Source organism: Homo sapiens, chromosome 10 (genome assembly GCF_000001405.40).
Source record: "Homo sapiens chromosome 10, GRCh38.p14 Primary Assembly".
NCBI classification, from domain to species: domain Eukaryota; kingdom Metazoa; phylum Chordata; class Mammalia; order Primates; family Hominidae; genus Homo; species Homo sapiens.
In genome coordinates this window covers 15710097-15727953 of record NC_000010.11, presented here as the reverse complement: position 1 = coordinate 15727953, position 17857 = coordinate 15710097, and the positions used below count along the sequence as shown (strand labels likewise).

The following is a 17857-nucleotide window of genomic DNA, read 5'->3' as shown; positions in this document are numbered from 1 at the left end:
GAAAAGAACTACAATTTGGATCCCTTCTGTCTCTGGAATTACCATTATTTTGCTGACTTGGTGTGATCATATGTAGTGGCAAATAGTTTTTCAGGAATTTTGTAGGAAGTCACTCTAACATCTACTTTGAGCAAGTCCAACAGGCAAATTGAAAAATGGGCTAAGTTCAATCCATTTGGCTTATTTTTTTTCTCCTTCCAGTAATGCTACTTGGCGTCTTTTTTCTTTTTGAGAATATTTTAACTTTCATCTGCTGGTTTTAATTTAACTTGTCATATTTCTATTTTTTTTGTACATGGGACCAGAGGCCTTTGGGAAAAGAACCCACTTTTTAATACATTAACACAATAAAAACAAGGAAGATCAATTTAAGTCAATGAGTTACGTTTTAGGCAAGCTCAGTAGAAGACAGGAATTCACTTCCAACTTTCAAGTTGTTCGAAGACTTCTAGCTCTAAAAACAGGCTAAGGCATTCTTACACGGAGATAATTAAAATGGTCAAGGCCATCGTCTTGGATAACTTAGGAAGATGCCATCATGGAGACTGTTACATGATAAGTAAGAGGCCTTTTTACTAAGTTACATAGAGAACAAAATGCAGATGCCATGGATGGCATGTGGCATTTTATGGGGGCAGTAAATGTCTTAACTTGTGTATTAGTCTCTTTTCATGCTGCTGATGAAGACATACCTGAGACTCGGTAATTTATAAACAAAAAGAGGTTTAATGGACTCACAGTGCCACGTGGCTAGGGAGCCTCACAATCATGGCAGAAGGTGAAAGGCACTTCTTACATGGCGGCAGGAAAGAGAGAATGAGGACAAAGTGAATGGGGAAACCCCTTATAAAACCATCAGATCTCATGAGACTTATTCACTACCATGAGAACAGTATGAGGGAAACTGCCCCCATGATTCAATTATCTCCCACTGGGTCCCTCCCACAACATATGGGAATTATGGGAGCTACAATTCAAGATGAGATTTGGGTGGGGACACAGTGAAACCATATCAACTTGGTCCGATGTGCTCAGATGAATTCTGCTAAGATTGAACTTCTCTAAATCAGTGGCCCCAGACAAGCCATAGAATTCCTTGTCTTCCAGATCTGGGTAAGGAGTGTTACGATCACAGGCATATATTTTTTAAGTCATGCCATGAACAGTTTGTTTTATTCTCTGGCTTAACTCATGGCTTTAGTCTTCTCTGATGAAAAATATCTCATAAAGCCTTCCCCGTCTTACCTCCAGCCCCATCATTCTCTCACACCACACCCCGTTAGTTTCAATCCTGGCATTTATCCATCTGGCATTTATCCATTTAATTACATTCTGCTCAGTTTGCTTGATTGTTCACCACCTAGCACACCTCACTAGACTGTATGCTCATGAAGGGAGGAACTATATCTTTTTAGCTTAATACTGCATCACCAGAGCTTGCATGGTGCCTGAGACAAAATTGGTGCCCATATTTGTTAAAAGGATAAAAACAATGAATAAGTAAATCAAAATCAGGAAGCCAAGTGAGGTTGAGCAGGACATAGTCTTTGCATGGATCACAGTGACAACTAATTTGGACTTTGTCATTAGTTGGGAAAATATTATTTTTATTTTCATGGGACACTTTCTCCCTCCGAGTCTCCCTGCCTGTCTTCCTTCCTTCCATCTTTCCTTCCTTCTCCCTTCCTTCTTTCCCTCCTTTCCTTCCTCCCTCCCTCCCTCTCTCCCTGCCAGTGTTCCTTTGTTCTTTCCTTCTTTCATTCCTTGCTTCCTTCCTTTCCTCCCTCCCTCCCTCCCTTCCTTTCTGTTTCTTTTTTTCTTTTTCACCTAATGATTTGCAAAGCTATAACAAGGAAATAAAAATCTTAATAAATGTGGGAGAGATTAAATCAATGTTTGTAAACTTTTTAATAAAAAATATTTTTAAAATCCATTTGTAAGAATTATCAAAATTGTAAGGCCAAAGCATTTTTCACAAGGAAGGTTTGTATTATTCCTGGAAAATCCCACACACTTGAATAAGATCACAGACACTAGAGGGCAGTCCTAGACACCCTGTGGTTCTCCTAAAGGCAAACTAAGCACAGCAACTTAGCCTGGGGTTTTAAACACACTGTTATCAATGCATCAGTTGCTCCGGCCTTCACCCGCTTCTGCAACTGAAGGACTTCCCCACTTATTTGTAGGAGGCATTGGGTGTGTCATCTGAGTCCTGTAGCCTCCCCCAGGAGCTGAGTAAAGTGGTGTCTGGCTGCTTTAGAAGCCTATACCTCCCTGATTGTCCAGAACCACATCTATTGCTGCTGTTACCTGGGGTCCATGAAGGTGCCTGCAGCCCTGTGTTCACAGACGCCTACACTTTCAAGTCCTGGGGCGTGCACGGGTGGGAAGAATGCACCACTTCTCATCTTGCCCTTTTTGCCGAGGACCAGGGTGGTGCTGCTCTGAACCCTAGCACTTTATGGTGACTCAGTTTTTTTGTCATAAAATAAAAACCTTGAACATTCCTGCAGGCCCTCTCCCCACCCCCCACCCTTTGCACTGGACTCCAACATGAGTCCCTTGGGGAACTGGAATTCTCAATTGCCAGACTCCTAATTTACGGCTTAGATGCTATGAGTTCCCTTCTCCTCTCAAAAGTTTCCTGTAGTCCTTTTGGCCAATAGTTACTAAATGATCCAGCCCACCAACCCAACACACATGTGTAGGTCTTTCAGCATACTGGAGTGAACTGACCCTGTGGAAACATGTAAATCACTCAAGATCCTGATTACAAACTCAGCCCTCTCCACCCACAAGGGCTGTGAATCTCAGGAAGATTTATCCTCAAATGTCAATGCTTTGGAAGAACATAGCTTTCCACAGTTACCTTCCCTTTGGAGGAAGAATTCTTTTACTTTTATTTTTGTTTAAAGCAGAGCTGCTTTTCAAGGCTTGTTCTAAAAAGAGATCAAACTGGAGTCTGGTTTTGACTAGTGGGAATTTTCCTTCAGCTAAACCAACTGTTGGCTGTGCTTGAACTCCCGCCAATACAGGGGCCAGTGCTACAGCACTTTTAAGTTAAAAGTGGCTAATAAAATCATGAAGGAAAACCATAAAAGAGAATTACAAACAAAATCATCAAAAAGAAAAAAAAATGGTTTTACTATGGGTGAAATTCACCCTCCAGGGACCGAATAGAAAATTTGCAGACATAAGCTGATGTCAGCAGAGACACCTGACACATTTAAAAGTCTTTTCCCCTCAGTAAGTTTAACCATCCAGTTTCTACTAATCAGTTGTTTCTAATATTGCAGGAAAGCTGAGTTCAGTTGGGCAGAAAAAAAATCTGACATAACCTCAATTATCCATTTTCTAAGTAGAGACTGAAAAGCTACCTTCCATTCCTGGTGCATTGATTTTTAAAGCTGATGGAGCCTCCGAGCACACATTGCATTCACACTGGCTTATTCTGTAAATAGTTTAAAATATTTGAAATGTGGTTCTATTAATGAAATAATTATATTGACACTTTCACACCTCTTGATTTTAAGGCATGATCATATCACATAAAGAAATAGATTGAAACACAATCAGAAATAATAATTGGTCATTAAGTTAGACATGTTTTTGATTGAAAAGTATGCACTAACTGGTTAAATGGTCTGGCATTTCTATTTTTAAGTACTTCGTACATGGCTACAACTCAGACATCATTTTTTTCCCCTGTGGTACTCTTTACTTGTTTATTTTTGGAAAGTTTGGGCCAAATCTGTTCCATCTTTGACCTTTGGGTTCTTTTCTTTTCTTTTTAGGGAAAGAACTATGTATACCTTTCCCAGTACGAAGCATACACATATGCTCACATGGATGATAAACAACTCGCAGACTTGCTTTTCTGACAAATAAATCAGTGCTGGTAGATCTTTAAAATGTCAAACTTCTCATTCAGCATGAGACCTGTCACTGTCCATGTGTTTTTTTGACGAGTCCCCAGATCTTACCAATTGGCATGGTTCCCGTATGTCAGAATGATGAAATGTACAAGACACCTATTCAGACTTATCCCTTCTCTACAATTATTGCAATTGGGTATTTTTTTTTTCCTGGCTTCTTGGAAGGTTTACTACTCTCCCAGGCTTTTGGCCTCCCAGGGAGGTCAAAGAGCTTGGAGTTAGTTTGCGTTCCCTCCAAAACACCAAGGTGCAGCCAAACCTTTTTCCACGACCTCTCGGAAAAGTACACAGCAGCTTTATGCCATCTCTCAAGGACTAATCATAGGCATGCCCAGAGGGCAGCCCAGAATAGCTTACTACCTCTAGAAAGGTGGCTTCTCATTATTATCATGGCTTTAAAACCTGATTCCTTATAGATCTAGTAGCATGAGGAACTGGTTTTGGCATTTGATAGGGTTAAAATAGTACGACTTACTTGCCCTGTAAACATGCATATTATTTTACCTCCCCAAACTTTAATGTCCTCATCTGTAAAGCAGAAAGTGACCATATTAAGAATATAGACTTATGTAAGTCAACAGCAAGTATGTTTTAGAACACAGAAATAAGAATATACCTAATTATGTGTCAGTAAACAGATTTTTTTTCCCTTATCTACTCTATTTTTGTTGTTGTTGTTTTGAGACAGAGTCTCACTCTGTCACCCAGGCTCGAGTGCACTGGCATGATCTCGGCTCGCTGCAACCTCCGTCTTCCAGATTCAAGCAATTCTCCTGTCTCAGCCTCCTGAGTAGCTGGAATTATAGGCATGTGCCACCACACCCAGATAATTTTTGTATTTTTAGTAGAGAGGGGATTTCACTATGTTGGCCAGGCCGGTCCCAAACTCCTGGCCTCAAGATGATCCACCAGCCTCTGCCTCCCAGAGTGCTGGGATTACAGGCATGAGCCACCATGCCCAGCCTCTCACTCTATTTTTGAACAAAAAGACTAAAAAGTTTAAGAAATATGCCAAGGAAGTAAGCAAGTGGGTACAACATGGGATACCCTGGTGATGTGCTTCTCTATGCAAATCAAAGCATTGTGTAATATATAGCTAGTTCCACCTAGTAAGTCAGCACACAGGTCAGGTGCATGTCTAGGATCATTCTATCACCTTCTGCCTATTTAGATGGTTCTCATCCATCTCAGGCTAGCTTGCAATAGGACAGATTTCCAAATTTCAGCATGCCAGTGTCAGGAAATGATTGAGTTGAGGTTATTTTTCTAACCTCAGTGTCCAACACAGTTGTCAGCATTCCTATTTGTATGCTGCCCATGAATTCCTCATTGAAAATTACTGAAGGGAACACCACTTTGATGAACAATAGTAACTTGATCAGAGTAGCAGACTCTGCGTTCAAAGCAAATGAACTTTTAAAATGAGAAGCAAGTCTTCTACCATCTACTCCTAAGTCTTTACCTGGGAAAGGAATACTCAGGAAATTATCCAGACGTGACAATTTGCCAGGGAAATTTTTGATAGCTTATTTATTTGTATTATTTTTACAGGGGCATGACAAGTAAAGATATAACATTCAGATCAGTCTACTGAGTGGGTTCTGATGTAAGGGAGACAAGAAGTCCAGCTTTTCAGTAAGTTCAGAGATTTTTTTCTCTGGATAGACCCTCAAATCAATGGACAGACTGACCACTCCCGAAACTGCCATCTACATTGCTAATCGCAGGCTAGTAACTCAAATCAGTGAGCCCAGCACCTAACTCACCTTCTACTTCCCCAATCTGCTGTCCTAGCCCACTGCTACCGTTCGCTATTCTTCTTTTCTAGGTTAATACCTTGAGACACCTTGAATTTTTTTTGAGATGGAGTCTCGCTCTGTTGCCCAGACTGGAGTGCAGTGGTGCAGTCTCGGCTGACTGCAATCTCGGCTGACTGCAAGCTCCGCTTCCTGGGTTCAAGGGATTCTCCTCCCTCAGCCTCCTGAGTACCTGAGTAGCTGGGATTACAGGCACATGCAACCACACCCAGCTTTTTTTTTTTTTTTTTTTTTTTTTTTTTAGTAGAGACGGAGTTTCACCATGTTGGTCAGGCTGGTCTCAACTCCTGACCCTGTGATTCTCCCGCCTCGGGCTCCCAAAGTGCTGGGATTACAGGCGTGAGCCACTGTGCCCAGCCTGTCCCTTTTCTTTAGCATTTGTGGCCCTCCCCTCCCTTCTGTTAACCAGCTTGAGGTCCTCGCCTCCCAGTGCATCTAGGCAACACCTACTTTGCTTTCCCTTCCTTCCAACAACTACCCCCCACTCCCCACCCCTAAACTTTTGGAGCCCCAGAAGGTATGTCCCGTCTCTGCTCTAGAACTGGCTCCCTTTGCCTCAATAAATGTTATTGTTATTAAGATCCTCTTCCTGAAGATCCAGTCAACCCTATTTCCCACCACTTCCTAACCCACCCCTTTTATTCCAATCCCATGCACAACCATTTAATCTCTGTCTTTTCTAAGTATTAATACCTTCCCTCAACTTCTCCCCCCACAGTGCCCAAATGTAAGCCCCGTATTCAAAATCCTACGTAAATGTACATCTGCCACCAAATCCTCTTACATGCTTCAGAAAAAACTTAGCTCTTCTGTCTCTAAACTTCATATCTGTTTAACCTCGGCTCCTTCCGGTTTCATGCTGACCTGTTTTGTTTAATGTTAACGAATGACCATATGTTATGTAAAGGGATCTATACTCCTTTCTCTTCTCTGTCCTCCCCTACTCAAGCCTCACGTCCTCTCCGACACAGGAGACATGGGAAGAGATTGACAACACCCACGGATCAGAACCGAAATCTGAACTCCTGTAGACTGTGAACTACACCTTCTACCCCCGCAGAAAGTAAACTGTAAATTCCAACATTCTTAACTGCGCCAAACTTCATCACAATTACACAGGATGGAGATTTACTACTAAGTCATTTAATATGCCCAAGATGCCTTTAAGAAAGATTTAAATAAAATCTCAAGGGCTGGGCAAGGCGGCTTACCCTGAAATCCCAGCACTGTGGGAGGCTTAGGTGGGAGGATCGCTTGAGTCCAGGAGTTCAAGACCATGTTGAACAACATGGTGAGACCCCCATCTCCTTAAAAAAAAAAAAAAAAAAAAAAAGAAGAAGAAGAAGAAGGAGAAAGAAAGAGAAACAAAGAAAGAAAAGAAATTTTAAAAGTCAACTCGAGGTGGCAGGACGGCTTGAGGCCAGGAGATCGAGACCAGCCTAGGCCACATGAGCAGACTCAGTGTCAACAAAAAAAAATTAGAAAATTAACCAGGTGTGATGTGTCATCTGCAGTACCAGCTAATCAGGAGGCTGAGGCAGGAGGATCGCTCGAGCCCAGGAGTTTGAGATTTCATTGATCTATGATAGCACCATTGCACTCCAGCTTGGGCGAGAGAGAGACCCTATCTCTAAAAAGAAAAAAAAAATAAATAAAACAAAGCAAACCAACCAAACAAACAAAAACAAAAAATTCACACATGCACACACACAGGCGCGCGCGCACACACACACACACACACAGACACCCAACAACAAAAACAAAAAAAAACCCTCGAGGCTTTCTTGTATATGAGTTAGCTCTGCCAGGAGGTGGGGTGGACTTAGGGGAGGAGAGGGTTGTTGCATTTCAACTTTAACTCTCATCACAGACGTGCAAAGCCGTGAACGCTGAGGTCAGGCTGCAGAGGTGATGAAGAGATAATTGCTTTGCCCCTCCTGGTGGTGGGGTTGGTTTTCACATTCTCCATCCAAGCTGCGCCTTTGACACAACTGGAGCAAGCTCTCGCTCCACCTGGGGCATTGCTTCTAAAGCAATAAATAGCTTGAGGTGACAGAGACGAAACTGATTGTCCTTGAGATGGGACTGCAATAGAAATCCGGGCAGCCCGAAGAGGCACCCAGCGCTCCAGCCACCAGCTGGGCCGCCCGGGAGTCCCTGGCTCTAGACCAGCCGCGAGGAGGCGCCGCGAGAGAGCTGGTCCCTGCCCGCGGCCGGAGGAGGGCTAGAGCCCCTGGGCCAGCCCCCCGAGCCGGCTGGGCGGGCGGGCGGGTGGGAGCAGACGCCGGGCACTGTCACCACGGGTGCGCCGAGCGCACCGACCCGGGACACGGGCAGCTGGGGACCGCCAGATTCCACCAGCCCCCCTTGCCCCGCAGGGGTCCTCGGCTCGCGCTCCTGGGTAGCAGCCACCCACCGGGGCGGAGGGAGATGTCGCCCGGGGCCAGCCGCGGTCCCCGGGGAAGCCAGGCGCCGCTGATCGCGCCCCTCTGCTGCGCCGCGGCCGCGCTGGGGATGTTGCTGTGGTCCCCCGCCTGTCAGGCGTTCAACCTGGACGTGGAAAAGCTCACAGTGTACAGCGGCCCCAAGGGCAGCTACTTCGGCTACGCCGTGGACTTCCACATACCCGACGCCCGCACGTAAGTCGCCCGACCCGGGGAGGTGCGCGCGGGGACGAAGGCGCTCCCGGGTCAGGTCCCAGCGGCTCTGCCGCGGAGTCCCCCCGCAGCCTGGGATCCCCGTCCTGCCGCCTGCCCGGGGTCCCGTCCCTCTCCCCGCCACCAGCCCCTTCTCTCCCCTGCCATGCTAGATGTGCCTTGTGAATTTTGAGCTAGAGACATGCCACTTGCATAGAACACGCAAGTCCTGGGTGTTCCAGGTACCAAGACGCACGCATCCTACAAAGGAGAGAACAGGACCCAGAAGACCCAAGCCAGTTAAAACCGCCACCACAGCGAGGTCTGTTTATGCAGAGTCTGTAACCATTGCGTCTGGGCGCAAGAGCTGTCGGCTACCAGCAGCTGGGCTCTGTCCTTGGCTTCCTCCTACCCCACCCCCTTCTCTCATCTCACTGTACCCACAGAGCTCCACCTAGAGAAGCAGGACCGTTTGCATTCTTGCAAACCAGGTTGCGGACCCCCGTTTCCAAGAGGAAATCAAGTTTGACAGTCGGTCCTCATCATAAATACGTTCATGCCCTCCACGCCTGCCCCAGTGTCCCCGGGCAGGAGGTTACAGAGACTGCATTGCATGCGCACGGTTTTGTGGCGCCCAAAGAGTGACTTTCTCCAACTCTTTTGCAGAGCGAGTGTCTTGGTGGGGGCGCCCAAAGCCAACACCAGCCAGCCCGATATCGTGGAAGGGGGAGCCGTCTATTACTGTCCTTGGCCCGCGGAGGGGTCTGCGCAGTGCAGGCAGATACCGTTTGACACCACCAGTAAGTGAGATTTGTCCTTCTAAGCTGTGGGCCTGGGTTTGGAAGAACCAGGGCCATCCCAGAGGCGACTTCCCGCTGTCTTGGTGTGCTGCTCGTTTAGCTTGTCTGATATGTCCGTATTGTGGGCTATGTGGGTCTCTAGAGAAATCAGTTTTTTCAACTCTCAGTTAACTGAAGGAAGACGTTTAGTGAACCCTAGAGAAAGGACACTATTTTGACCCTGAGTGTTCGGATGCATCCTGGCAACTCCTGTTTCTTTACCTTTCTGAGATGAGCATTTTCAGGGTGAGTGGATGTTTTGGAGAAATACAAAAACTATGTCCTAACTTTGACTGTGGAGAGAATTTGGTTGCTTCTCAAGGACAGATCTGGAAAAAGAGAGATCCTTAGCGTTTCCAGTGCCCAAGCTCGGGAGGCAGGACTTAGCTGCTGCAGACCCAGACATCACTCCGCGTTGCTGTTTAATTCTTTACAGAAAGAAAGAATTTTCTTTCAAAGTATTAGACATTGAATGCAAACTAGTGCAGGCAGAGTGTGGATGGATTACATTCATTTCCAAAATCCCTAGACAGATGTTTCTTATTTAATTAAAGGGAAAATACATTTTAAACAATTCAGTCTGGTTACGTTTCCTCTGGTGTTTTCTCTTTAGAGCCTGAGAAAATAATTTAAATGCGATGCTTTCAAAAACATTAACACCGAATGCTTTAATTTTTACCACCAAAACTTTATGAATTCAAAAGGTATATATTATCAGAAAGCAAATATCTCTTTCCAGAAAAATGCGAATATGTCAGCTTGAACAATGGTCCTTGATAAATAATCGTTTAAAATACCTTGTGTACCACACAACTATTTTATGACATACTTGATTTCTTTGATTTTTAATTGTTTGATTAGTGCGTATATGGAATTTATGCGGAATATTTTCACAGAATTTCGATGAAATTGGCTGGATGATGTTTACTTGTTACTATAATTTGTATCTTTTATGTTAAAGGAGAAAACAATTTCAGTTTCATAAATATGAAAATATTTCAAAGCAAAACAGACTATACAAGCATTACCTTGAATTATGACCAAATTAGGAAAGTATTTTATAAAAGCATTGGAAAATTATATTTTTATCATGCCTGTCTATATATGGTCACAATAGCTTATCATTTTATTAAATATTCTGTTATTTTATACCAGTTTTTATAAGCTTTTACTTTTAAATTTGAGTATTAGCAACCAGGAAGATTAAACCTTTTGATGTTAATTTGTGACAGAAATCTTTTAATTAGTTATTTTATCAAGACTTGAGACACTTTCTAGCTACTGCTCTCTAGTTTAAGAATAAGCTTCGTAAACCAAAAGAATTAAACATTTAAACACAAAATTAATGCCATTTTAATAATTCATATCCGAATCATTTGTATTTTTAAAAGTATTTTAAAGCAGGCCAAATAAAGACATGAATCATTAACATTATTTGAATTTACATTAAGGAAAGTATATTTTGAGACATGGTTGATGTGTTTTCACCAAGAAGCAATTTATGGTCGTGGAAAAGAATTTAATAATCTTCTTGTATAGTCTCATAACATCAAATCAGGATCTGATTAGTATTTTTTTCTTTTGATAAAGGAAGAATCAATGTCTGCCCTGATAAGTTACAACTGACTTACTTTGTAAGTACTCATCCCAATAGATGTCATAGGCCAACAGATTAAAAACCAGAGAATCCAGATGTCAACTATGAATTCAAAAAATAACTGACCACTCCTAACTGAAAATTTTCAATATTAAATTACAATAGGTAGGCCAGGCGTGGTGGCTTATGCCTGTAATTCCAGCACTTTGGGAGGCCGAGGCAGGTGGATCACTTGAGGTCAGGAGTTCAAGACCAGCCTGACCAACATGGTGAAACCCCATCTCTACTAAAAATACAAAATCAGCCGGGCCTAAGGGTGTAATCCCAGCTACTTGGGAGGCTGAGACAGGAGAATTGCTTGAACCCAGGAGGGAGAGGTTGCAGTTAGCCAAGATTGCACCATTGCACTCCAGCCTGGGCAACAAGAGTGAAACTCCATCTCAAAAAAAAAAAAAAAAATACAATAGGTTATATTTTCCAAGTTCATTCTAAAGCAATTGCTTGAAGCCTTGAATTCACTCTCCCATACAGAACTAATGCTGAAAGATGTGCTTTGGTTTCCAGAATAGCCCACAGGAATGCATTTAACCCTTATTGTAGCTGAATTATATTTGCAGTAAAACAGTAGGGGACAAACTAGAACAAGTTGGCAATTAAACAGAAAAATAATGTCCAGAAAATGTCAGTGTTACTTGGAGAAGACAATGTCCTCTTTTGTGTAGGTTAGGAAAATGTCTAGATATCTCAAAGGGCTTTAGAGATTGATGCTGCTCATTCCACACTATGTCTTATTTTACTTCCAAATATATAGTGGTTTACTTGATAAATAGATGAATGCACTAATCCTACTATTATACTTATCAACTACAATCATAATAATTTCAGAATTCACAAATGGAACAAAGTGAGAGAAAGAAAGGGGAAGAAAAATCAATGTTCCTGAAATAATTGAACAGGAAATTTAAAAAGCAAGGCAGGAAAGGCTACACAAGTTTGTGAGAAATGAATGGTCCATGACAGAATGAACAAGGCTGTGACCTGTGAAAGACAGGGAGGTCCCACTGGGGAGGAGAAAGGAATTGTTGGGAAAAGAAAGTTCCCCATGTCGGCCATCAGGGGGTACTATGGGCCCAGAAACCTTGATTGCCAGTGGGAATGGCCTGAAAATGGGTGTGGGGAAGGAATCCACAGGGTCACAGCTCAGGTGTTTGCTACCAAGTGGTTGCTCACCCTCTATACCTCATCTGTGCCAATTGCTTTGTCCTTATACCCTCAGATAGTGGAACTGGCAGTGGCAGCTACTTGATGCAATGCTGTGCAAGTGAAGAAGGCACAGCAGATGCCAGTGTAGCTATTTCCATTCTGAACATCCACTTCGTGGACAAAGTAGAATGTTAAAACGAAAGATGAAAGGTGGAAACAGACATCACTGGCTCTGGGTCCTGAAGTCAGTGTTGCCAGAGGCATCCCATTTACAGATCGCTACTATGTACCAGACACGGTACACACATTGTTTCTACTACATAAAACAAATCAAAACAACTATGTAAAACTCATTCTGTAAATAAGGAAACTGACATCAAAGGTATACCCAAGACCGTACAGTGGTAGGTGGTAGAGGCAGGACTGGAATAGAGGTCTGCCCAGTTCGCAGCCTGCTTGTTCCCCTCACCTTCCTTCCAGAAATGGGGAGAGGATTGACCCTGATAGACTGCAAGTTCAGGATTATGACTAAGCCCCCAAGGAGCTTTGGAAGGCTATATTTGCCTTCCCTCCCTCTCCTCCATTCCCCTACTCCAGCAGTGGCTTTACAATTCCATTTTAAATTATTCTCCAGAGAGGGGTTGGAAAGGATAAACAGTTTTGGTGGAAGCATTGTAGAAGCAGGGTTTGTCTTGGTGGGAATGATGGGTCGCATATGCCCCTGGTTTGCTCAGACTCCCACAGAATGCCCCTTCATGGTCTCTGATAAGCTGCCTCCTGAGTTACTCTCTGCTCAGTGCCAGTAACGTACTGTTCTCCCCCGAAAAAAAGGAAGAAAAGTTCTCTGCTTAACTAAGTAGTGGCCCCAAATTGACATCCGCATAATGGAGTGTGATGTGTCAGGCATAAAAATGTATATTGCAAATATTCATCTGTCAAGACATCAGTGACTTTCCTGGTCTTTTACCCTACTTTTACTACGACATCTGAATTCAAGACATCCTAAGTAAATTTGACCTTTCAATGAAGTTGTTTCAACTTGTTCAGGTCCCTGGGGTGTCTACAATTGGGTATTCTGCTCTGGTAACCAACTAAATTCTCTCAGCTTAGACTTTGAAGGAGACAGCCCTATAACTGAGTCCCAGAGTCCAGTTGAGATCCTGTTCCTCCATTTATTTAAGGTCAATTGCCATTTTCTAAAAACTGCCTTTCAGGTTTTTTTTCATGAAATAATCATTATTTATTTTATTTTTACCTTATCATATAACTTGATTTTCTTTAACATTTCTCATGATGAATACAAAAATAGAGGAAGCTTGCACTAGGCCCAGCACTTCAAATGCATGAATACTAGAAGCATATGCTGGTGGGGGAGATGCAAAGAGTAGATAATTTTCCTGCTCTGTACAGAATCAAGGGGTTCCAAAAAAGCACTTCTCTGATCTCCCTTCTGTCTTTCCCTCTTTACTTCAATAGAAGAAAATTCCTCCTATCACCAAATTGGTTTCTTTCACTTTTGTCTCAGGAACTCTTTAAACTATGCCCTATGTCTTAAAGAGTTTAAAATATCACATCTGCCTAATTCATGCCTCTCGCTTCTGTGTCTACTTCAAGGTTCCCTTTCTTCTTTTTCCTACATTTTCTAAACCAATGCATGGGTTAAAGAATGTTAGGCTGTAACCCTTCTGCTAAAAGGGAGAACGAATGAGACAATGAAATGGACTGTCATCTTTGGAATAATGAAGAGCAAATTGCAACATAGTTCCAAAGTATAGCATACAAGTATTTGATTGTTTTAAATGCTCAAGTAAAATGTTTGAGGAAAAAGGTGATGTGTGCTAATTAATTATGATAATCATCAAAGCACTAATAATGACAGAGAAGCAATACAGCTGGGAACCAGTCACAGTTAGGAGCCCACATAAGAAGTTGACAGGAAGAGGTAGGAGGTGCCATTGAGATTTGGAAGTCATCTGAGAAAGACCACTAGAATTTGCCTGGCCTCAACTTAGTATCTCTGTGTTAAAAAATAAAAATAAAAATAAAAATAAAAGGAAAAAGAAAAAGAAAAGAAAAGAAAACTTAAAATGGAAGACAATTGGATTAGGATATTTCAAAGTTCTGGATGACAAGGTTTTTGTTGGAATTGCGGGAGACCGGAAGCCTTTGTTTTGGGGGGTCTGTTTTATTTTGTGTTGAGTGATCCCACAATGAGAAGCAGCTTAAAGCATCTGGTTCTGCAACTGGCTTAGGGTTGTTTTTTTATAGTGTTCGGTGTGCCCTTTTTCTCATGTGAGGGTTGGGAAACATATTGGCTGCATAAGTCTTGCCTTTCTAGTTTCCCCGGAAAGAAATCAGTTTTTGTTCAGGAACAAAGAAAAGAAAAATGTAGGTTAGAGCTACCCAAGTAAATGACAGAGGAAATAACATAAATGTGATAGGACTTAGGGACAGGAGAAATCTGTGCTCTAATACGTTCACTTGGAAGATTACAAAGGTGGGGGAAGACGGAAGCCCAAAGATAACCTCCTCTTTTCAAGACTTAACAATGAGAGTAAGTTTTGCTACTCAGAAAAAAAGAAGCAGTGTGTGCACACAAGCACACACCACAATATTTGCAGAAATCTTCCTCTGCTAAGTCCTGATCCAACTGAGTCATCAAAGGTGGTTTAGCTGGATGTCTTACTTATTATTCTAGAAGCAATTCATGATGGCTACTATGACTGGATATGTTGGCATGACAGAGGCAACCATCATCCCTAAATTTCTCTCTGTTTGTTCAGACTTCATGCAACAGAACACAACTGAACCTTGGTATGAGAAGGGAGGAGGCAGCGGTCCCTACAGCCCATAGCAACTGAGGAAGCAATTAGAAAAAGGAAGTCCTTGAAACTCCAACTAGAAATGGGAAACAGATCTGCTGTATGGCTAGTTGAGCAGTATGAGCATTAGGCACCTATTGCTTAATCTGCAAAATTCTTTCAAGAAGCTGGAAGTCTGTGTGAGGGAACAGGCTTCAAGGTTCTTGGCAGGAATATTCCGTGTAGGCTCTGCAGCATGCTGGGAGAAATGGCTTGAAATTATCTTGAAATAGTCTTGAAATTATTCTGAAAGGAAAAACACACTTTTACATTTAAGCTGACAGGTTGAGATGTGCACATTCGAACTTTCCTTCTTAGTGTATAACGAGTCTTGTATCTGGGAATTGCATTGATGGAGAGAGTTGCCAACTTTACGAAAAAGCTCAGCTCAGGGGTGCCCTGATGGATACCATGACAGTACATGAACATGGACTTTTTTATTTTTTATTTTATTTTTATTTTTTTGAAATGGAGTCTGGTTCTGTCACCCAGGCTGGAATGCAGTGGCACAATCTCAGCTAACTGCAACCTCCATCTCCCGGGTTAAAATGATTCTCCTGCCTCAGCCTCCCAAGTAGCTGGGATTACAGGTGCCCACTGCCATGCCCAGCTAGTTGTGTGATTTTTTGTTTTGTTTTGTATTTTCAGTAGAGACAGGGTTTCACCATATTGGTCAGGCTGGTTTTGAACTCCTGACTTCAAGTGATCTGCCTGCCTTGGCCTCTCAAAGTGCTGGGATTACAGGCATGAGCCGCCACACCCAGCCATTGAACATGGATTTTTGAGCAAGATAGCTGAAAGACTAATTATTGGTTTTATTAAAAAAACACTCATTCATCCTTTAATCAGCAAGCATGTTGAAAGCATTTTAAAATAATTTTTATTTTTCAAAATTCAGCTTAAATACATGTTTACAAAGAACATATTTATTGCATAAAGCAAGGTGTTCCTCCATAATGAAATCCTAACATAGATTAAAGTAATTTCAATTCCAGGTTACATGATAAGGAGATTTAAGATATGCAAGCTAATTGTGACTAAGTGATTTATACTTAAAACCAAATACATCTGATACACCAGCTATGGACTGCTATAGAATTCAGGTGAGCAACTCTTAGATGAATGTCACTAGATGGTCTGGAAGGAGTGGAGCTCCACCTCAACCCTGCTGAAAGGCCAGAGTTTAGGTCTGTGGTGTTTAGTGTATTGGCCTGAAGGTCTGCAAATTGAGAAACTTTCCTAGACCCATAAACACTGAAGAAAGTGATTATTTACCCTTTCTTTCTTTTTTTGGGGGGTAAAATTAAGGTATAGATTACAAAAATAAGTCTTTATAGAAGTGATTTCCAGGCATTGGGAGTGGAAGAGATGAGTTGACTCCAAAGGTGTAATAGCAGGGAATCTTTTGGGGGGGAGGTTGATGGAACTTTCTATATCTTGATTGTGGTGGGGGATACATGACTGCCTGTATTTATGAAAACCCATGATGCTGTAGATCACCAAAAGTGGATTTTATAAATACGTAAATAAATAATCTATATTAATATGTAAATAAAATAAATGTATAAATAATATGAACAAAAAGATGAAGAGAAAAAACCTTTATGGAGAAGGCAAGAGAGTTACATATTTGATATGATGATTAAATATGGTTTTGTGGCTGTTGCTCTGAGCCCATGGTCAATAAGCTCTTAGGCTATGGGAGGGTCTGATATAACAACACCTGGGGGTGTAAAGACAAAGATCCCTGAGAAGCATAGGCCACCGCTCCTAAGTAAGGCTGAACGATTGGTCAGATCATCATGTAGGAACTTCTTCAACATTCTTTAAATAAAGGATCATATGTTCCGAATGTGTTTGATAAGAAGAGTGTGAATGCAAACACGTTGCATAAGAATATCTATGCAATGAAATGTTGTTCCTTGTGTCATTCCTATATCCTTATGAAATTCAGGCACAAAATTTCCTCACTGGTAGTCACTGAAGAGAGCTCACTTTAAATACATGATTGTAGTTATCAAAATTAGTATAATGGCACTGCAGGGTATTTACTTAGAAACATTTGGTCAGTTTTCTTCTTCAGCTCTGATATTTGACATAAGGACATAAATTTGAATATGATATTGCAAAAAACCCTGTATCAGTCTGCCCTGACTTCCAGGACATACTGACACGAGAGAGAAGGGCACACACCACTGCAACAGGAATAGGTTTATTCAAAGACCTGACCCGGCCCACGCTATACGCAGCATCTCACCCCAGGTACAGCAGTGGAAGCCAATCTCCTGTGGCCAGGTTGTAGTTCTATTCCAGTTGTCTCAGTTGTCAGAGCCTATGATTTCCCCAGATGTCTCCTATACCTGCCCCCTCTTGCCTCGCTAGTTACACAACTGATCTCTTTGTCACAGTGCCACACAGCACAGTACAGCTTGTCTCTCTAGAGCACAGCAAACAACTCTTGCATACACACGTGTTGCCACACACCCTGCACCATGTCCTCCTGCATTCTTAGCCACCCAGGACATCTTGTCTTCCAGAATGATTTTCTGATACTTCAGGCTTCTCTCCTCCTATAGTTCCCACCAGGATACATGTTTCAGAAATTAATTCTAAAGTAGCTACAAATCCTTTTTTAAGAAGAAAGAAAAGGGGCACAACACTAAATAAGTAATGTTTTTGAACAGCCTATTTGTGGGTAGTCAATCAAATTAGGGCATAAAAGCACACAATTAAATATTATATAACCATTAAAAATGAAGTCTACAAAGAATCAAGATTAACATGAGAAGATTTGTGTTTCAGTGGTAAATAAAAAACATAAAAGTCAAAATTGTGTCTACAACTTCTTGAAAAATATAAGAAGGAAATTGTAATGAGAGACTATCTTTGGGAAATGTGATTAAAACTGTTTTTTTCTCATGCATTTTTTTTCTTGTTTTCAAACCATGAACAAGTATTTATTTATGATC

The 17857-nt window shown here is 42.1% G+C and overlaps 1 protein-coding gene across 3 annotated transcripts in view, besides 1 other annotated feature; it reads left to right on the top strand.

Moving 5' to 3' along the window:
* Positions 8032 to 17857, top strand: part of ITGA8 (integrin subunit alpha 8) — a 205969-nt gene continuing 196143 nt past the window's right edge. For all 3 annotated transcript variants that reach the window (NM_001291494.2, NM_003638.3, XM_011519752.3), the window contains exons 1-2: positions 8032 to 8391; positions 9055 to 9188. In NM_001291494.2, coding sequence (NP_001278423.1) covers positions 8183 to 8391; positions 9055 to 9188 — 343 coding nt within the window. In that variant the 5' untranslated portion in view covers positions 8032 to 8182. The remainder of the gene's footprint in view (positions 8392 to 9054; positions 9189 to 17857) is intronic.
* Positions 13318 to 13518: a silencer, noted in NCBI's record as "peak877 fragment used in MPRA reporter construct". NCBI's record gives its function as "represses an SCP1 promoter by STARR-seq MPRAs in K562 erythroleukemia cells {active_cell/tissue: K562}" and the evidence as "EXISTENCE:reporter gene assay evidence [ECO:0000049][PMID:32103011]".